Source organism: Homo sapiens, chromosome 1 (genome assembly GCF_000001405.40).
Source record: "Homo sapiens chromosome 1, GRCh38.p14 Primary Assembly".
Classification (NCBI taxonomy): Eukaryota; Metazoa; Chordata; class Mammalia; order Primates; family Hominidae; genus Homo; species Homo sapiens.
In genome coordinates this window covers 22,031,393-22,048,504 of record NC_000001.11, presented here as the reverse complement: position 1 = coordinate 22,048,504, position 17,112 = coordinate 22,031,393, and the positions used below count along the sequence as shown (strand labels likewise).

Below are 17,112 nucleotides of genomic sequence, written 5' to 3'. Positions count from 1 at the left end.
TCACATTAGCAATAAATTCCCTCTATTGCCTGAACGAGGTTGAGTAGGTTTCTGTTGCTTATGACTGCCAAACTCTTGATGAATCACTGCCACCCCTGCCCTGCTTGTCTGCCCATGAGGTACTTGTCCCTACCCTCTAGGTAATAACTCCCAAATCTATACCTCTTCCAACCCCTATTCCCACCCCCAATTTTTTTTTTTTTTTTTTTTTTTTTGAGACAGAGTCTCACTCTGTCAACCAGGCTGGAGTGCAATGGTGCGATCTCAGCTCACTGCAACCTCCCCTCCCAGGTTCAAGTGATTCTCCTGCCTCAGCCTCCCGAGTAGCTGGGATTGCAGGCAACTGCTACCATGCCCAGCTAATTTTTGTATTTTTTAGTAGAGATGGGGTTTCACCATGTTGGCCAGGCTGGTCTCAAACTCCTGACTACAGGCGATCCACCCGCCTCAGCCTCCCAAAGTGCTGGGATTACAGGCGTGAGCCACCGCGCCCGGCATCCTACCCCCATTTTCAAATTTCCAGCTACTCAGCACCATCAAAATCATCTTCCAGCTCCCACCTACTCCAGGGTCTAAGCACCTATGTCTGCTTTTGGCCCCTACAGCCTTGTATATCCAGGAGTTCTCAACCTTTTCTGCATCACAGATCCTATACCCACAAAATTCATATCTAATTTCTAGAGGCTCCCTTCAAGCTCTCTGCTTTAGTCCAGGCATGGTGGCTCATGCCTATAATCCCAACACTTTGGGAGGCTGAAGCGGGAGGATCACTTGAACCCAGGAGTTTGAGACCAGGCTGGGCAACATACTGAGACCTCATCTCTACAAGAAATATAAAAACCGTGTGGTGGCAAGCACCTGTAGTCCCAGCTACTTGGGGAGGCTGAGATGTGAGGGTCGCTTGAGCCTGCGATGTTGAGGCTGCAGTGAGCCATGATCATGCCAGTGCACTACACTGCACTCCAGCCTGGGTGACAAAGCAAGACCCTGTCTCAAAAAAATAAATAAAAAGAATCTCAGCTGGGTGCGGTGGCTCACGCCTCTAATCCCAGCACTTTGGGAGGCCAAGGCGGGAGGATCACGAGGTCAGGAGATCAAGACCATTGTGGCCAACATGGTGAAACCCTGTCTCTACTAAAATACAAAAAATTAGCTGGGTATAGTGGCGCTCACCTGTAGTCCTAGCTACTCAGGAGGCTGAGGCAGGGGAATCGCTTGAACCCGGAAGGCGGAGGTTTCAGTGAGCAGAGATCGCACCACTGCACTCCAGCCTGGCCACAGAGCAAGACTCCGTCTCAAAAAAAAAAAAAAAAAAAAAGAATCTCTACTTTAACTCATTTGACAAAGCACAGCATTTATCTTCCTATATCATCGCTCTGATTAGGTCACTCCCTTACTCAGAAACCTTCAGTGTTTTCTCCTTTGTCTTCAGAATAAAATTTAAGACCTTTGGTTGGGTACAGTGACTCAGACCTGTAATCCCAGCACTTTGGGAGGCCGAGGTGGGCAGATCATGAGGTCAGGAGTTTGAAACCAGCTTGACCAACATGGTGAAACCCCATCTCTACTAAAAATACAAAAATTGGCTGGGTATGTTGGTGCATGCATGTAATCCCAGCTACTCAGGAGGCTGAGGCAGGAGAATCGCTTCAATCTAGGAGGTGGAGGTTGCAGTGCCTGGGTGACAGAGAGAGACTCCATCTCAAAAAAAAAAAAAAAAATTTAAGACTTTACCCAGACATTCTATGTCCTCTATGATCTTTGCCTTTCCAAAGTGATTTCCCTTTCTTTTTGTATTAGTCATAGTTCTCCAGAGAAACAGAACCAATAGAATGGTAATATATATTATTTATATATTACATATAAAACCATTCTGGCCATGTGCAGTGCCTCACACCTGTAATCCCAGCACTCTGGGAGGCCAAGGCGGGTGGAACACTTGAGGTCAGGAGTTCGAGACCAGCCTGGCCAACATGGTGAAACCTCATATCTACTAAAAATACAAAATTAGCTGTGTGTAGTGATGCGTGCTTGTAATCTCAGCTACTTGGGAGGCTGAGGCAGGAGAATCATTTGAGCCCAGGAGGTGGAGGTTGCAGTGAGCCGAGATCGAACAACTGCACTCCAGCCTGGGCGACAGAGGGAGACTCCATCTCGAAATAATAATAAAAATAAAACCATTCTCTATATAGAGAGTGGTTATATATACATATAGAATGGTCTATATATAATATATAAATTATATATTATATAATCATACATAATATATAAATTATATATAATAATCTCTATATATAAAATATACATATATATATATAGAGAGAAAGATTTATTATAAGAGATTTATTATAATTGGCTCACTCACACGACTATGGAGGACAAGTCCCAAGATACACAGGGTGAGTCACTGAGCTGGAGACCCAGGAGAGCCAATGGTGTAGCTCCAGTCCAAGCCTGAAGGCCTGAGAACCAGGAGAGCTGATGTTTCAGTTCCAGTCCAAAGGCCAGCAGGCTCAAGACAGAGGAAGAGCCAGTGTTTCTCTTTGAAGTCTGAAGGCAAGAAAAATTCTCCCTCAGTCAAGGGAGGGTCAGCCTTTTTGTTTTATGTTGGCCTTCAACTGATTGGATGAGAGGGCAATTTGTTTTGCTCAGTCTCCTGATTCAGATCTTAATCTCATCCAGAAACAAGTTTGCAGTCACACCGAAAATAATGTTTGACCAAATATCTGGGCACCCCATGGCCCAGTCAAGTTGACATATAAAATTAATCATCACACCTTCCACTACACACCTATGCTACAGCTAGACTGTATAATACTTAGTATCATACAGGCAGGAACCATGACTTCTCACCTCTCTGCCACTGCTCATGCTGATCCTCTTCCCTAAAACACCTTTCCTGCTTATCCATCCTACATGTCAAGTCCACTCTTCTTCCCACCATGAACTGTACATTTTGCCAACATCCACCTTGTGTCCTTTCCCACCTCTGTGCCTCTGTGGATTCAGTGGCTCCCTTCTCTGTCTGCCAAACTCCACTCTTCTCTCCTTCAAGGACTGGCCTAGGCCTTAGTTTTGAAATCTCCCGACAACCCCAGGCAACCAATCAGTCTTATATCACTTTGTATTTAAAGCATCTCATATTGGAATTATTTGTATCTATTTATGCTAAACTATTAGGCCATAAGCAGGCAGAGATCTTATTCATTTTATTTTTTTTTACCTAATTTCCTGGCACACTGCCATCCCTCAAAAATGTTTGATAAATGATGCATGAATGCATACACCACCACCTCTTACACAAAGCCAGCTCTGCTTCCCACTGCCAAAAGGGATTGCTGGCTCTTCTAAACCCCCAGAGCCCTTATCAGAGCCCCTCTCCAGGCCCTCTGTCTGGGCTATCATGTTTACCCACACTTTTTCCACCCTACTGCAAGCTCCCAGGGGCAAGCTTGGTTTTGGATGCATTGCTGTGCCCCTCACAGTCCTCTTCAGATCCCTAGAACACTTTGGCTGAATGAGAGAAGCCTCATACTGCATTCTCTGCCAAATGCAAGACTGCAAATCCACCACCATCTCCCCAAGGGCCTGCCAAGATTTACTAAAGAAGAAGAAGATCTACATTAAAGAGGCTCTCCTCCAAGGTCTTCAGGCTTGGGATTTGTGTGAGAAAATTCTAATTTAAGACTTTCTGTGTGATTCATAGGCAAAAACTGCGAAGAAAACCAAGGAAGTGATTATCATACAAATTCAGCTAGTGGCCGCCTCTAAAGGGGGTTAGAATCTGGAAGGGATGGGGGTACTGGGGGGGCAGTGTTGGCAGTGTTCTATTTCATGACCTGGGTGATGATTACATGGATGTTTGCCTTATCATTATTTATTCTATGGTACATGTTTTATTTGCTTTTCGTATGTGTAATAGTTCATTAAAAAATAAAAGGCCAGGTGCAGTGGTTCATGCCTGTAATCCTAGCACTCTGGGCGGCTGAGGCAGGTGGATCACTTGAGGTCAGGAGTTCAAGACCAGCCTGGCCAACAGGGCCCGTCTCTACTAAAAATACAAAAATTAGCCAGGCATGGTGATGCATGCCTGTAGTCCCAGCTACTTGAAAGGCTGAGGCAGGAGAATGGCTTGAACCCGGGAGGCGGAGGTCGCAGTGAGCCAAGATGGTGTCATTGCACTCCAGCCTGGGTGACAGAGCAAGACTCTGTCTCGAAATAAATAAATAAATAAATAAATAATAAAAGTTAGGGCCAGACACAGTGGCTCAAGGCTGTAATCCTAGCACTTTGGGAGGCTGAGGCGGGCAGATCACTTGAGGTCAGGAGTTCAAGCCTGGCCAACATGGTGAAATCCCATTTCTACTAAAAATACAAAAACTAGCAGGTGTGGTGGTGGGTGCCTGTAATCCCAGCTACTTGGGAGGCTGAGGCAGGAGAATCACTTGAACCCAGGAGATGGAGGTTGCAGTGAGAGGAGATCATGCCACTGCACTCCAGCCTGGGCAACAGAGTGAGACTCTGTCTCAAAAAAAAAAAAGTTAAAGCCTAGGCAACATAGCAAGACCCTCGTCTCTACAAAAAAAATACAAAAATTAGCCGGGAATGGTGGTGTGCGTCTGTAGTGCTAATTACTCAGGAGGTGGGAGGATCATTTGAGCCAGGAGTTCAAGGCTGCAGTGAGCCAAGATCACACCACTGCACTTGAGCCTGGGCAACAGAGTGAGACCACCGTCTCAAAAAAATAAATAAAAATTAATTAAAGTTGAAAATAAATATATTAAAGTATCTCTGTTGTTGCCAAAAGGTTGATGTGTTGTATAATTCATATCACTGAGACCGCAGCCCACCCCTCTTTCCTGATTCCCCTGGCTGGTCATGGCCCAGACCTCTCCAGGAGCCCCCCAACCCTACTGCCAGGACTCCAGCCGTGTTCCTGGTTTACCTGCTGCACCACAAGGGGTTACAGCTGCTGGGGCTGCCTCCACTAAGGGATCTGCTCCCTCTGCAGCCCCTCCAGCTGTTCAGCCTCCCTCCTCCACTTATGCCCACATCATTATGCTTGTCTAGGGACCTGAACCCTTCCTGGAGGCAGAGAAAGGGGAGGAACTCACCAAACCTGTTTCCTTCTTGCCTTTTCTCTAACTGGCCCAGGCTTGCCTCCTTCATCTTGCTTACACATCTCTGGCAAAGATAATCTGGGTCACTGAACAAGGGTGGATGAGAAAGGATAGGGGAAAGAGTAAAGTCCAGAAATAACTGAGCAACTCTGTCCCCATCGTGTAGGCCCTTGTCCATCTCTCCAATCTCATCAGGACCACGTACTCACTCACTGGGCTCCGGCCATGCCGCCCTGGTTGCTGTTCCTCGGACACACTGAATTTATTCTGCCTAGCTCAGAGGCTTTGCTCTTGCTGTTCCCCCTGGTTATCTGTACACACCTGCTCCCTTCCACCCCACAGGAATTTGCTCCAATACCACCTCTTCAAGAAGACCTCTTCCTTCTCAGCTTAACTAGCACCCCCCACCTGCTATCACACGCAGCTTTGCTTCCCTCATAGTGCTTATCTCTATCTGAAATGGTCTCAGTTCTGTATTTTTCTTACTGTCTCCTCCCATTAAAGCCAAGTAAAACCCAGTAAATCCAAGGACTTGCTTCATCACTGTACCCTCAGTGCTAGAATATAGTGCATACTCAATAGAAATCTGTTAAAGAAATACAATAGGCGGGGCGCAGTGGCTCACTCCTGTAATTCTAGCACTTTGGGAGGCCTAGGCTGGCAGATCACAAGGTCAGGAGATCGAGACCATCCTGGCTAACACAGTGAAACCCCGTCTCTACTAAAAATACAAAAAAATTAGCAGGGCGTGGCAGCGTGCGCCTGTAGTCCCAGCTGCTGTGGAGGCTGAGACAGGAGAATGGCGTGAACCCAGGAGGCGGAGCTTGCAGTGAGCCGAGATCGCACCACTGCACTCCAGCCTGGGCGACAGAGCAAGACTCCGTCTCAAAAAAAAAAAAAAAAAAAGAAATACAATAAGACCATAAGACCAATCCCTACTCAAGGAATTAAGGACTCCCAGTGGGACAAACAATAATTAAAACGAGGCTGGGTGGGTGCGCTGGCTCACACCTGTGATCTCAGCACTTTGGGAGGCTGAGGCAGGCAGATCACCTGAGGTAAGGGGTTCGAGACCACCCTGGCCAACATAGTGAAACACCGTCTCTCCTAAAAATACAAAAAAATTTAGCCAGGTGTGGTGGTACGCGCCTGTATAGTCCCAGCTACTCAGGAGGCTGAGGCAGGAGAATCACTTGAATCTGGGAGGCGGAGGTTGCAGTGGGCCGAGATTGCGCCACTGCACTCCAGCCTGGGTGACAGAGTGAGACTCCATCTCAAAATAATAATAATAATAATAGTAATTAAAACAAGCACTAGGACAGGGTATATATAAGGTGTAGAGGAATTGGAAAAGCAGACTATCCACAATAGTTCTAGCTAACATTTGTTAAGCACTTCCTACACTCCAGGCACTGCTCTAAGTATTTAGTATGTTATTATCTCACTTGAAATTCACAACAGCTCTGAAATATATAAATTATCAGCAAAAGTCAGGCATGGAGAGGTTAGTAATGTTTGCACAAATTCATGCAGCTGGTAGGTGGAAGGGCTGGGATTCAAACTCAGAGCTGATCATGGAAGTTTTCCCAAAGGAGCAAGGTCTGATCTGCATCTGGAGGAGCTGCCCAGACTGGCTGGGCCAGGATAGAGCATGCTGTGTCCTGGCAGAAAGAACAGGCGTGTTCAGGTACACAGGCATGGAAAAGCAGGATGCTCAGGGGATGGATGATCTCACAGACAAAGTGTTCAACATAAGAAGACAGACACTAATGACTCCCTTTGGTTCAGAAACAGACAACACTAGGGCAATAATATTTTGGAGGTTAATAATTGGGAGAGGGCCTGAGGAAGGCTTCTGAGGTGCCTGTAATATTCTGTATTTTGATCTGGAAGGTGGTAATAAGGGTATGCCCACTTCGTACAAATTCATTAAGCCATACAATTAAGATTTGTACACTTTTTAGGATGCATGTTATATATATATGTGAAATTTATTATATATTCTTATGGTTTTTTTTTTTATTTTTTGATATGGAGTCTCACTCTGTAGCCCAGGCTGGAGTGCAGTGGCGCGATCTCAGTTCACTGCAACCTCTGCCTCCTGAGTCCTGGTCAAGCAATTCTCCTGCCTTAGCCTCCCAAGTAGCAGGGATTACAGGCACACGCCACCATGCCCAGCTAATTTTTGTATTTTTAGTAGAGATGGGGTTTCATCATGTTGGCCAGGCTGGTCTTGAACTCCTGACCTTGTAATCTGCCCATCTCAGCCTCCCAAAGTGCTGGGATTACAGGCGTGAGCCACTGCACCCGGCCTATTTTTTATTTTTTTGGAGACGGAGTCTCATTCTGTCACCCAGGCTGGAGTGCAGTGGCACAATCTTGACTCACTGCAACCTCCGCCTCCCAGGTTCAAGCAATTCTCCTGTCTCAGCCTCCCGAGTGAGCGATCTGGGCTCACTGCAATCTCTGCTTCCCGGGTTCAAGGGAAGCTGGGATTACAGGCACGCGCCACCATGTCCGGCTAATTTTTTTTATTTTTAATAAAGGCAGGGGTTCATCATGTTGGCCAGGCTGGTCTTGAACTCGTTACCTCAGGTGATCCACCCCCCTCGGCCTCCCAAAGTGCTGGGATTAGAAGCATGAACCACTGTGCCCAGCCTTTATTTATGTATTTATTTTCTTTTGACTCAGGATCTGACTGTCACCGAGGCTGGAGTGCAGTGGCACAATCTCAGCTCACTGAAGCCTCCACCTCCTGGGCTGAAGGAATCCGCCCACCTCACCCTGCTGAGTAGCTGGGACTAAAGGTGTGCACCACCATACCTGGCTAATTTTATTATTTTTTGTAGAAATGGAATCTCGCTATGTTGCCCAAGCTATCCTTGAACTCCTGGGCTCAAGCGATCCTCTTGCCTCAGCCTCCCAAACTGTTGGGATTACAGGCGTGAGTCACCATGCCTGGCCAAGAACAGGATTTGACGTATAGAAATTTGACATAAGATGGAGCTGCCTGCAGAGAGAGGGTCAAAAGAACAAGATCCAAGGGACAGCTGAGAAAAGGTCACTCACTGAATCTTCCCCTAATTAAGCAGATTCAGATTCAGATACAGTAGCATTTACTGAGTATTTGTGGACCTGGGCTGCTGTGCTAGGGTAACCCTGCCTGAGAATAAGCCAGGACCAAGACAGGTATAGGAGCTGAAGCTCAGAAAGGTGGCATGACTTGTCTGACATCACACATCTAAGTGGTAGAAGTTATTGTTGCTAGAAACCTTCCATTTGTGTTTCTAAGACAGGGCTCAAAGCAATAAGTATTGGCCCCAATTGGAGGCGGAGTTTTGGCTCAGAGGAAGTGAAGGGGAGGCCCTGGCTGCTCTGGCGGTGTTGGTGGCTTCCTGCCCAGGAGACCACACCCAGCTTCAAAATCACCATTCTGGGTAGTCAAGTTGTTGCTAGGCACCTAAAGAGGCCCCTGCGCTTTGCAGAGCCAACTAAGGGCAGTTAACCTCATCTCACTGCAAGGTCAGATGCAGAACAGAGAAGTGAAGCCTTCCCTTTGTAGTTTTTGTTTTTGTTTTGTTTTGTTCTTATCTCCATCCCTACTTCTTCTACAGGAGACTACTAGTCTCACTCCTTGTTTCCTCCACAACATAGCACCTAGTGGTCACTGATGAACCGTGGATACTTGTGTTTGCTAAAAGGAAATATCTTAAGAAGTAGCAACCGTGGCCAGGCACAGTGGCTCACACTGGTAATCCCAGCACTTTGGGAGGCCAAGGTGGGCGGATCACGAGCTCAAGAGATCGAGACCACCCTGGCCAACATGGTGAAACCCCATCTCTACTAAAAATACAAAAATTAGCTGGGCGTGGTGGCACGTACCTGTAGTCCCAGCTACTTGGGAGGCTGAGGCAGGAAAATCGCTTGAACCCAGGAAGCGAAGGTTGCAGTGAGCCAAGATCGCGCCATTGTACTCCAGCCTCACAACAGAGAGAGCCTCTGTCTCTAAAAAAAAAAAAAAAAAAAAAAAAAAAAAAAAGCCAGGCGCATTGGCTCACACCTGTAATCCCAGCACTTTGGGAGGCCGAGGTGGGTGAATCACGAGGTCAGGAGATCGAGACCATCCTGGCTAACACGGTGAAACTCCGTCTCTAATAAAAACACAAAAAATTAGCCAGGCGTGGTGGCGAGTGCCTGTAGTCCCAGCTACTCGGGAGGCTGAGGCAGAAGAATGGCATGAACCTGGGAGGCGGAGCTTGCAGTGAGCCGAGATCGTGCCACTGCACTCCAGCCTGGGTGACAGAGCGAGATTCTGTCTCAAAAAAAAAAAAAAAAAAAAAGGAACAACCATGTCTCCCATGTCTCCCACAAAAGTCAAAGTGCTCCTTGAGGATCCCCCAGGTGCAGGCCCTGTGTTCAATGCAAAGAACATAGAAAGTCTCCCTCTTCATGGAGCTCACAATCTGCCTGGGACACAAACAAGATGCTGCACTGCAGTGTGATGCTTAGAATGGGGCATGGCACGTAACATCTATTTGCTGCATGAGCAAGTACCAAGAACTAAAGCTAAGGTGTTGTAGGAGCTCACAGGGGGGCTTCAAGTGCTAGTTCAAAGCAGAAATCAAAGAAGGCTTCATGAAGGTGACCGTGTCTATCTGCATCATAAAGAATGAACAGTTTGGGAGGCCGAGGTAGGCAGGTCACTTGAGCCTAGGAGTCTGAGACCAGCCTGGGCAACATGGTGAAACTCCTTCTCTACTAAAAATACAAAAAATTAGCCAGGCATGATGGCGCACATCTGTACTCCCAGCTACTTGGGAGGCTGAGGTGGGAGGATCACCTGAGCCTGGGAAGTCAAGACCACTGCACTCGAGCTTGGGTAACAGGAATGAGATCCTGTCTCAAAATAAATAAATAAATAAAGAAAGAACGAACAAACAGGAGTAGGCTGGCAAAGATTCAGGGAGGGGCATTCCAGGCTGAGGGAAAATGTCCAATTGTCTAATACATGCGTAGCAGTGGGTGGAAAGAGAATGCTTAGCAAAAGAGTCAAGTCATTGTCAAGCGCATTGTACTGAGCTGTCTAGGGAAACTGACCCCACGTGATGCTCTGGGAGGACCAGCTGCACTTGAATTCTGCAGCCACCACCATCACTACCACAGTCGACTCCTCGTGGCCCCCACACCCACTGGAGCTGGCCTCCTCTCTGGCAGCCAGGGCCTGGCACCCACTCACTGCTCAGGGAGTAGCTGCCCAACAGATGACATGTTTTTCCATGGCACAAGCCAGTTGCTAGGGATCTCATATTACCTTGTGGTCCTAACACTGGTTTTTCCCAGCAGCCATCTCGCAGGAGCACTTTTCAATAACTAGATGAAAGTATTATCTTGTGGAACTTGCAGTCAAAATAATCACAAAGGGGAAATAGACATCTTAGAAATACAATATGGAAGTATTTTACATTGACTTCCTCCTTCCCCCAAGATTCACGGACAGAGTTTTTAGGGTTCTTTAGAACTGAGGTCTAGATTGATTCAAGAAACAATGACAGACACAGGCACCATCTCAGAGGTGTGGCGACAGAAATGGGGAACTCCTCTATTCCCGAATCCTCACAGAGCCCTTCAAACAGTGGAGCTGCTCTATTCTTTGACATTCAGGTAGTATGACCTTGTGGCAAGGCGTGAGGCTAGGGCCAGATGAAACGAGAGATGAACTGTAGCTTCTCCACTTACTAGGTTTCTTTGGGACAATCTAATCTGTAAATTCATTTCCATAACAAAGAACTGGTACCACGGGGTTGTTGGGAACCAAAGCTGGTTTCAGAACGTGAAAGTTGAGCCCTGGCTCTGTCAGTTACCTCTCTAAACCTCACTTGTGCCTCAGTGGTTTGAGTCCATACCTAAATCCTCTACCTTACACTTCTTGCTGGAAAGTAAAAGGCCAAGTACAGCCATACAGCTGCCAAAAAAATTTTTTTTACTTTTTTTTTTTTTTTTGAGACAGTCTTGCACTGTTGCCTAGGCTGGAGTGTGGTGGTGTGATCTCGGCTCACTGCAACCTCTGCTTCCGAGGTTCAAGGGATTCTTGGGCCTCAGCCACCCGAGTAGCTGGGATTACAGGCATCCAAAACCACGCCCAGCTAATCTTTGTATTTTCAGGAGACAGGATTTCACCATGTTGGCCAGGCTGGTCTCAAACTCCTGGCCTCAAGTGATCCACCTGCTTTGTCCCCCCAAAGTGCTGAGATTACAGGCATGAGCCACCACACCCAACCAATTTTTTAAATAAAGTAAATCTCTGTATGTTGATAGCAAAAGGCCTCTAAGACTTATTGAGTAATGAAAAAATATGCACTAAACATGCATATTTTTATGTAACTTCTAAAGGAATATATATGTGTATCTGCTCACATAATTTGTATTTTCTGCTCACATATATATAATTTGTATTTTCTGGAAGGATACATAAGAAACTGTTAATAATGAGAAGAGGGCCTTTAAGTTTTCTTTTTATATCCTTCTATTCTCCTGGACTTTTCTATCCATATGCAAATATATATTTTTATATATATTACATATATATACATTTATATAAACTAAACATTTAAATTTATATATAAATATGTAAATGTATATATGTATATTCTTTTTTTGAGACAGGGTCTCACTCAGCCACCTAAGTTGGAGTGCAATGGCACAATCACAGCTCACTGCAGCCTTGACCTCCTGGGCTCAAAGGATCCTCCCGCCTCAGCCTCCTGAGAAGCTGGGAACTACAGGCATACACCACCACACCCAGCTAATTTTTTTGTAGAGACAGGTCTTGCTATGTTGCTCAGGCTGGTCGTGCACTCCTGGCCTCAAGTGATCCTCCCATTCTGGCCTCCCAAACTGCTGGGATTACAGGCATGGCCTCTACTGACATTTTGTTTTGCGACAGTCTCACTCTGTCACCCAGGCTGGAGTGCAGTGGCATGATCTCCGCTCACTGCAAGCTCCGCCTCCCGGGTTCACGCCATTCTCCTGCCTCAGTCTCCCAAGTAGCTGGGACTACAGGCGCCCGCCACCAAACCGGGCTAATTTTTTTTGTATTTTTAGTAGAGACGGGGTTTCACAGTGTTAGCCAGGATGGTCTCAATCTCCTGACATCGTGATCCGCCTGCCTTGGCCTCCCAAAGTGCTGGGATTACAGGCGTGAGCCACTGCACCCGGCCTCTACTGACATTTTTTAAAGGTAAAAGAAATACTTGCAGGACAGGTGTGGTGGCTCACACTTGTAGTCCCAGCTAAGAATGAGACCCAGGCTCTTAAAAAAAAGTCAATAGGAATTACCTGGGCAGTGAGATTATGAACCATTTTTTTTCATACTTTTTCTGTATCAAATGAATCTAAGAAATGTTATTTTAAATTGTAAAATAGAGATTTTTAAAAAGCAAAAGAAGGGCCAAGCACGGTGGTTCACGCCTGTAATCCCAGCACTTTGGGAGGCTGAGGTGGGCGGATCACAAGGTCAGGAGTTCGAGACCAGCCTGGCCAAATTGGTGAAACCCCGTCTCTACTAAAAAATACAAAAATTAGCCGGGCATGGTGGCAGGTGCCTGTAGTCCCAGCTACTCAGGAGGCTGAGGCAGGAGAATCGCTTAAACCCGGGAGGCGGAGGTTGTACTGAGCCGAGATTGCACCACTGCACTCCAGCCTGGAAGACAGAGCAAGACTCTGTCTCCAAAATAAATAAATAAATAGCAAAAGAAGAAACACTGTGCATACAGGAGATTCTCAAATGTTAAATTAACATTTCCATACATGAGGGATGAAGGCCCACGCCTTGGATAGACATCTAAGGCTCAGATCCTAGCTCCACACTTATTAGCCATTATTGCTTAACTGCTGGACCTCAGACTTCTCCTCTGTAAAATAGGTAGATTTACTATTTACCTCACATGACTGTTAGGATTCAATGAATCATAGATGCATCAGTGCAGACTTTGGCACACAGTAAACCATCCCAACTGAATGTTCTACAGGTTGACGATTGGGAGGTATAGCATTTAGTCTTCACATCAAAGAGCTGCTTTTTTTTTTTTTTTTTTTTTGAGATGGAGTTTCGCTCTTGTTGCCCAGGCTGGAGTGCAATGGCACAATCAAAGCTCACAGCAACCTCTGCCTCCCAGGTTCAAGCAATTCTCTTGCCTCAGCCTCCCGAGTAGCTGGCATTACAGGCATATGCCACCATGCCCAGCCAATGTTGTATTTTTAGTAGAGACGAGGTTTCTCCATGTTGGTCAGGCTGGCCTGGAAATCCCAACCTCCAGTGATCCGCCCACCTTGGCCTCCAAAAGTGCTGGGATTACAGGCATGAGCCACTGCACCCGGCCAAGAGCTTTTTTAAGATTTGCCAGAGTGGGTGGTATTACTCAAGCACATAATAGGAATTTTTTTTTTTTTTTTGAGATGGAGTCTCACTCTGTCACTTAAGCAGGAGTGCAGTGGCGTGATCTCTGCTCACTGCAACCTCCACCTCCCTGGTTCAAGCAATTCTTCTGCCTCAGCCTCCCGAGTAGCTGGGACTACAGGCATGCGCCACAATGCCTGGCTAATTTTTATATTTTTAGTAGAGACGGGGTTTCACCATGTTGGCCAGGCTGGTCTGGAACTCCTGACCTAAAGTGATCCACCCACCTTGGCCTCCCAAAGTGCTGGGATGACAAGCATGAGCCACCGCGCCCAGCCATATAATGGGGATTTGAAGACTAATTTATTATATATCCCACTCTTCCTACAGCATTCTCAGTTCAACGTTAAGCCTGAGGCCAGGGATTGGAGGGCTGAGTTCCATGACCCCCTCAAATGGCCATGATGAACTCTCCTACATAATCAGTGGTTCTCGACCAGGGGCAATTTTGCGTACACCCTCACCCCCACCCCCAGGACATTTGACAATGTCCAGAAACATTTTTGGTTGTTACATCCAGACAGGTGCTACTGGCATCTGGCAGGTGGAGGTTGGGGATGCTGCTAAGCATCCTGCAATGCACAGGGCACGCCCCTACAACAGAGTTATCTGGCCCAAAATGCCAATAGTGCCAAGGCTGAGGAATTCTGTGCTAGGGTCACTCAATTCAAGAAACCTCAGCTGACCAGGCGGGGTGGCTCGTGCCTATAATCCCAGCACTTTGGGAGGCTGAAGTAGGAGGATCATTTGAGCACAGGAGTTCGAGAACAGTCTGAGCAACATAGCAAGGCCCTGTCTCTACCAAAAAAATTTAAAAATTAGCTGGGTGTGGTAGCACACAACTGTAGTCCTAGCTACTTGTGAGGCTGAGGTAGGAAGATCGCCAGAGCCCAGGAGGTCAAGGCTGCAGTGAGCCGTGATCCTACCACTCAACTCCAGCTTCAGTGACCAAGTGAGACCCCGTCTCAAAAAAAAAAAAAAAAAGCTCGCCTCGGTGGCTCATGCCTGTAATCCCAGCACTTTGGGAAGCCAAGGCAGGCGGATCACTTGAGGTCAGGAGTTCAAGACCAGCCTGGTCAATATGGTGAAATCTTGTCTCTACTAAACATACAAAAATTCACTGGGCGTGGTGGCACGCCTGTAATCCCAGCTGCTTGGGAAGCTGAGGCAGGAGAATCGCTTGAATCAGGAGGCAGAGGTTGCAGTGAGCTGAGATCGTGCCATTGCACTCCAGCCTGGGTGACAAAAGCAAAACTCCGTCTCAAAAAAAAAAAGAAAAGAAAAGAGGCCAGGCACCGTGGCTCACACCTGTAATCCTAGCACTTTGGGAGGCCGAGGTGGGAGGATCACTTGAGGTCAGGAGTTCGAGACCAACCTGGCCAACATGGGGAAATCCCGTCTCTACTAAAAATACAAAAATTAGCCAGGTGTGGTGGCATGTGCCTGTAATCCCAGCTACTCAGGAGGCTGAGGCAGGAGAACTGCTTGAACCTGGGAGGCAGAGGTTGCAGTGAGCCAAGATGGCGCCACTGCACTGCAGCCTGGGCAACAGAGCAAGACTCTGTCTCAAAAAAAAAAGAAAGAAAGAAACCTCAGCTGTTGTGTCATAAAATCTGTGAGTCCACCTGTAAAGCCAGGTCCTTTACTTGCAGACCAAATCCTAGATCACTGAAGCAGCTGAGAAATTGATGGAGGCCAGGAAATTCCTGAATGCCAGGAGTTCCAGATCCCTGCAGACTAAAGGAAGTATCTTCAGAATGATTCAAAATACTACAACCCTATCAGTGATACTAACTCCTTTGCCAATGTTACATTTTACTATTCAAATTAAGGATAGAAAACCTTACCTTACAGTGGCCGGGCACGGTGGTTCACACGTATAAGCTTTGGGAGGCCAAAGCAGGCAGATCACGAGATCAGAGACCAGTCTGGCCAACATCCCGTCTCTACTAAAAATACAAAAAATTAGCCAGGTGTGGTGGTGGATGCCTGTAATCTCAGCTACTTGGGAGGCTGAGGCAGGAGAATCATGTGAACCCTGGAGGCAGAGGTTGCAGTGAGCCGAGATCATGCCTTTGCACTCCAGCCCAGGTGACAGTATGAGACTTCGTCTCAAAAAAAGAAAAGAAAAGCTTATCTTAGTTACCAGAAAGCATAATTAACTAATCTTACGGTCACTATTCCCTGAACACTACATACGATTGCATTCCCATGCTTTTGCCTTCTGTCCAATGATCTCCTACTTCCCTTCCAGAATTCCATTAAAATGTCACTTCTCCACTTTGACTGTCCTCTCTCCTCTGCTTATAATTTTTTTTTTTTTTAAGACGGAGTCTTGCTCTGTCGCCCAGGCTGGAATGCTGTGGTGCGATCTCGGCTAACTGCAAGCTCTGCCTCCCAGGTTCACGCCATTCTCCTGCCTCAGCCTCCTGAGTAGCTGAGACTACAGGCGCCTGGCTAATTTTTTTGTATTTTTAGTAGAGACGGGGTTTCACCGTGTTAACCAGGATGGTCTCAATCTCCTGACATCGTGATCCGCCCGCCTCAGCCTCCCAAAGTGCTGGGATTACAGGTGTAAGCCACTGCGCCCAGCCTGTAATTTTTTTTAAATTAAAAAATATTTTATCTTGGTGCTATTTCAAACGAGATACCAAAAGCAAGGCTGGTTTTACTCCAACATTTTTTTTTTTTTTGAGACAGAGTTTCACTCTGTCGCCCAGGCAGAGTACAGTGGCGCGATCTCGGCTCACTGCAAGCTCCGCTTCCCAGGTTCACGCCATTCTCCTGCCTCAGCCTCCCGAGTAGCTGGGACTACAGGGGCCCACCACGGCGCCTGGCTAATTTTTTGTATTTTTAGTAGAGGTGGGGTTTCACCATGTTAACCAGGATGGTCTCGATCTCCTGACCTCTTGATCCACCCGCCTCGGCCTCCCAAAGCGCTGGGATTACAGGAGTGAGCCACTGCACCCGGCCAACATTTCTAACAATGTATTTTTAATGCTTTTTCCTCTCTTCAAAAATGACACACTTCCTTAAAAGTGGGTTTTACATTTCCATTCTAGAAGAGTCGGAGGCACAGGAAGTACTCAACAAACCCTAGCAGAATCAACAAGAGTTCCAGCATGCAGCTGACCACTCCCTATACCAAAGGCTGTTTCTGAAGTGGCACCAAGTTTGTTAGAGAAGGAGCAGAGCTACAAGTCCCGGAGCCAGACCACAGAGGCAGACAGGTTCCTCCGAACTGGGTTGTGCCGGGAAGGCAGCTGCTGTTTACCCTGCCTGTCACAGACACAGCTACTGCTCTATGTCAGCTGTCAGCCACAGAACAGGTCTCCACACACAGAAAAACAAGGATGACCTCTGTTGCAGAAAAAGCAAAACACAGTAGTGTTGGGGAGCTTTACAGTAAGTTCTCTTGCAGAAAGGCAAGCTATAGAACAAAGGTGATGGACATGGTGAAACAGCCAATCAAACAGCTCTGTGTACAGGTTACTTACCTCTTATGACCGTTTGACCCCTTTCTCAGTTCTGTCCAAT

General features: G+C 46.9%; 2 annotated features.

The window, feature by feature from the left end:
* Positions 3,203 to 3,372: an enhancer, noted in NCBI's record as "experimental_5374 CRE fragment used in MPRA reporter constructs". NCBI's record gives its function as "activates a minimal promoter by MPRAs in K562 erythroleukemia cells, with activity observed for the non-introgressed 1:22371711 variant allele {active_cell/tissue: K562}" and the evidence as "EXISTENCE:reporter gene assay evidence [ECO:0000049][PMID:34662402]".
* Positions 8,429 to 8,498: an enhancer, noted in NCBI's record as "active region_347". NCBI's record gives its function as "activates an Ori minimal core promoter by ATAC-STARR-seq in GM12878 lymphoblastoid cells {active_cell/tissue: GM12878}" and the evidence as "EXISTENCE:reporter gene assay evidence [ECO:0000049][PMID:35858748]".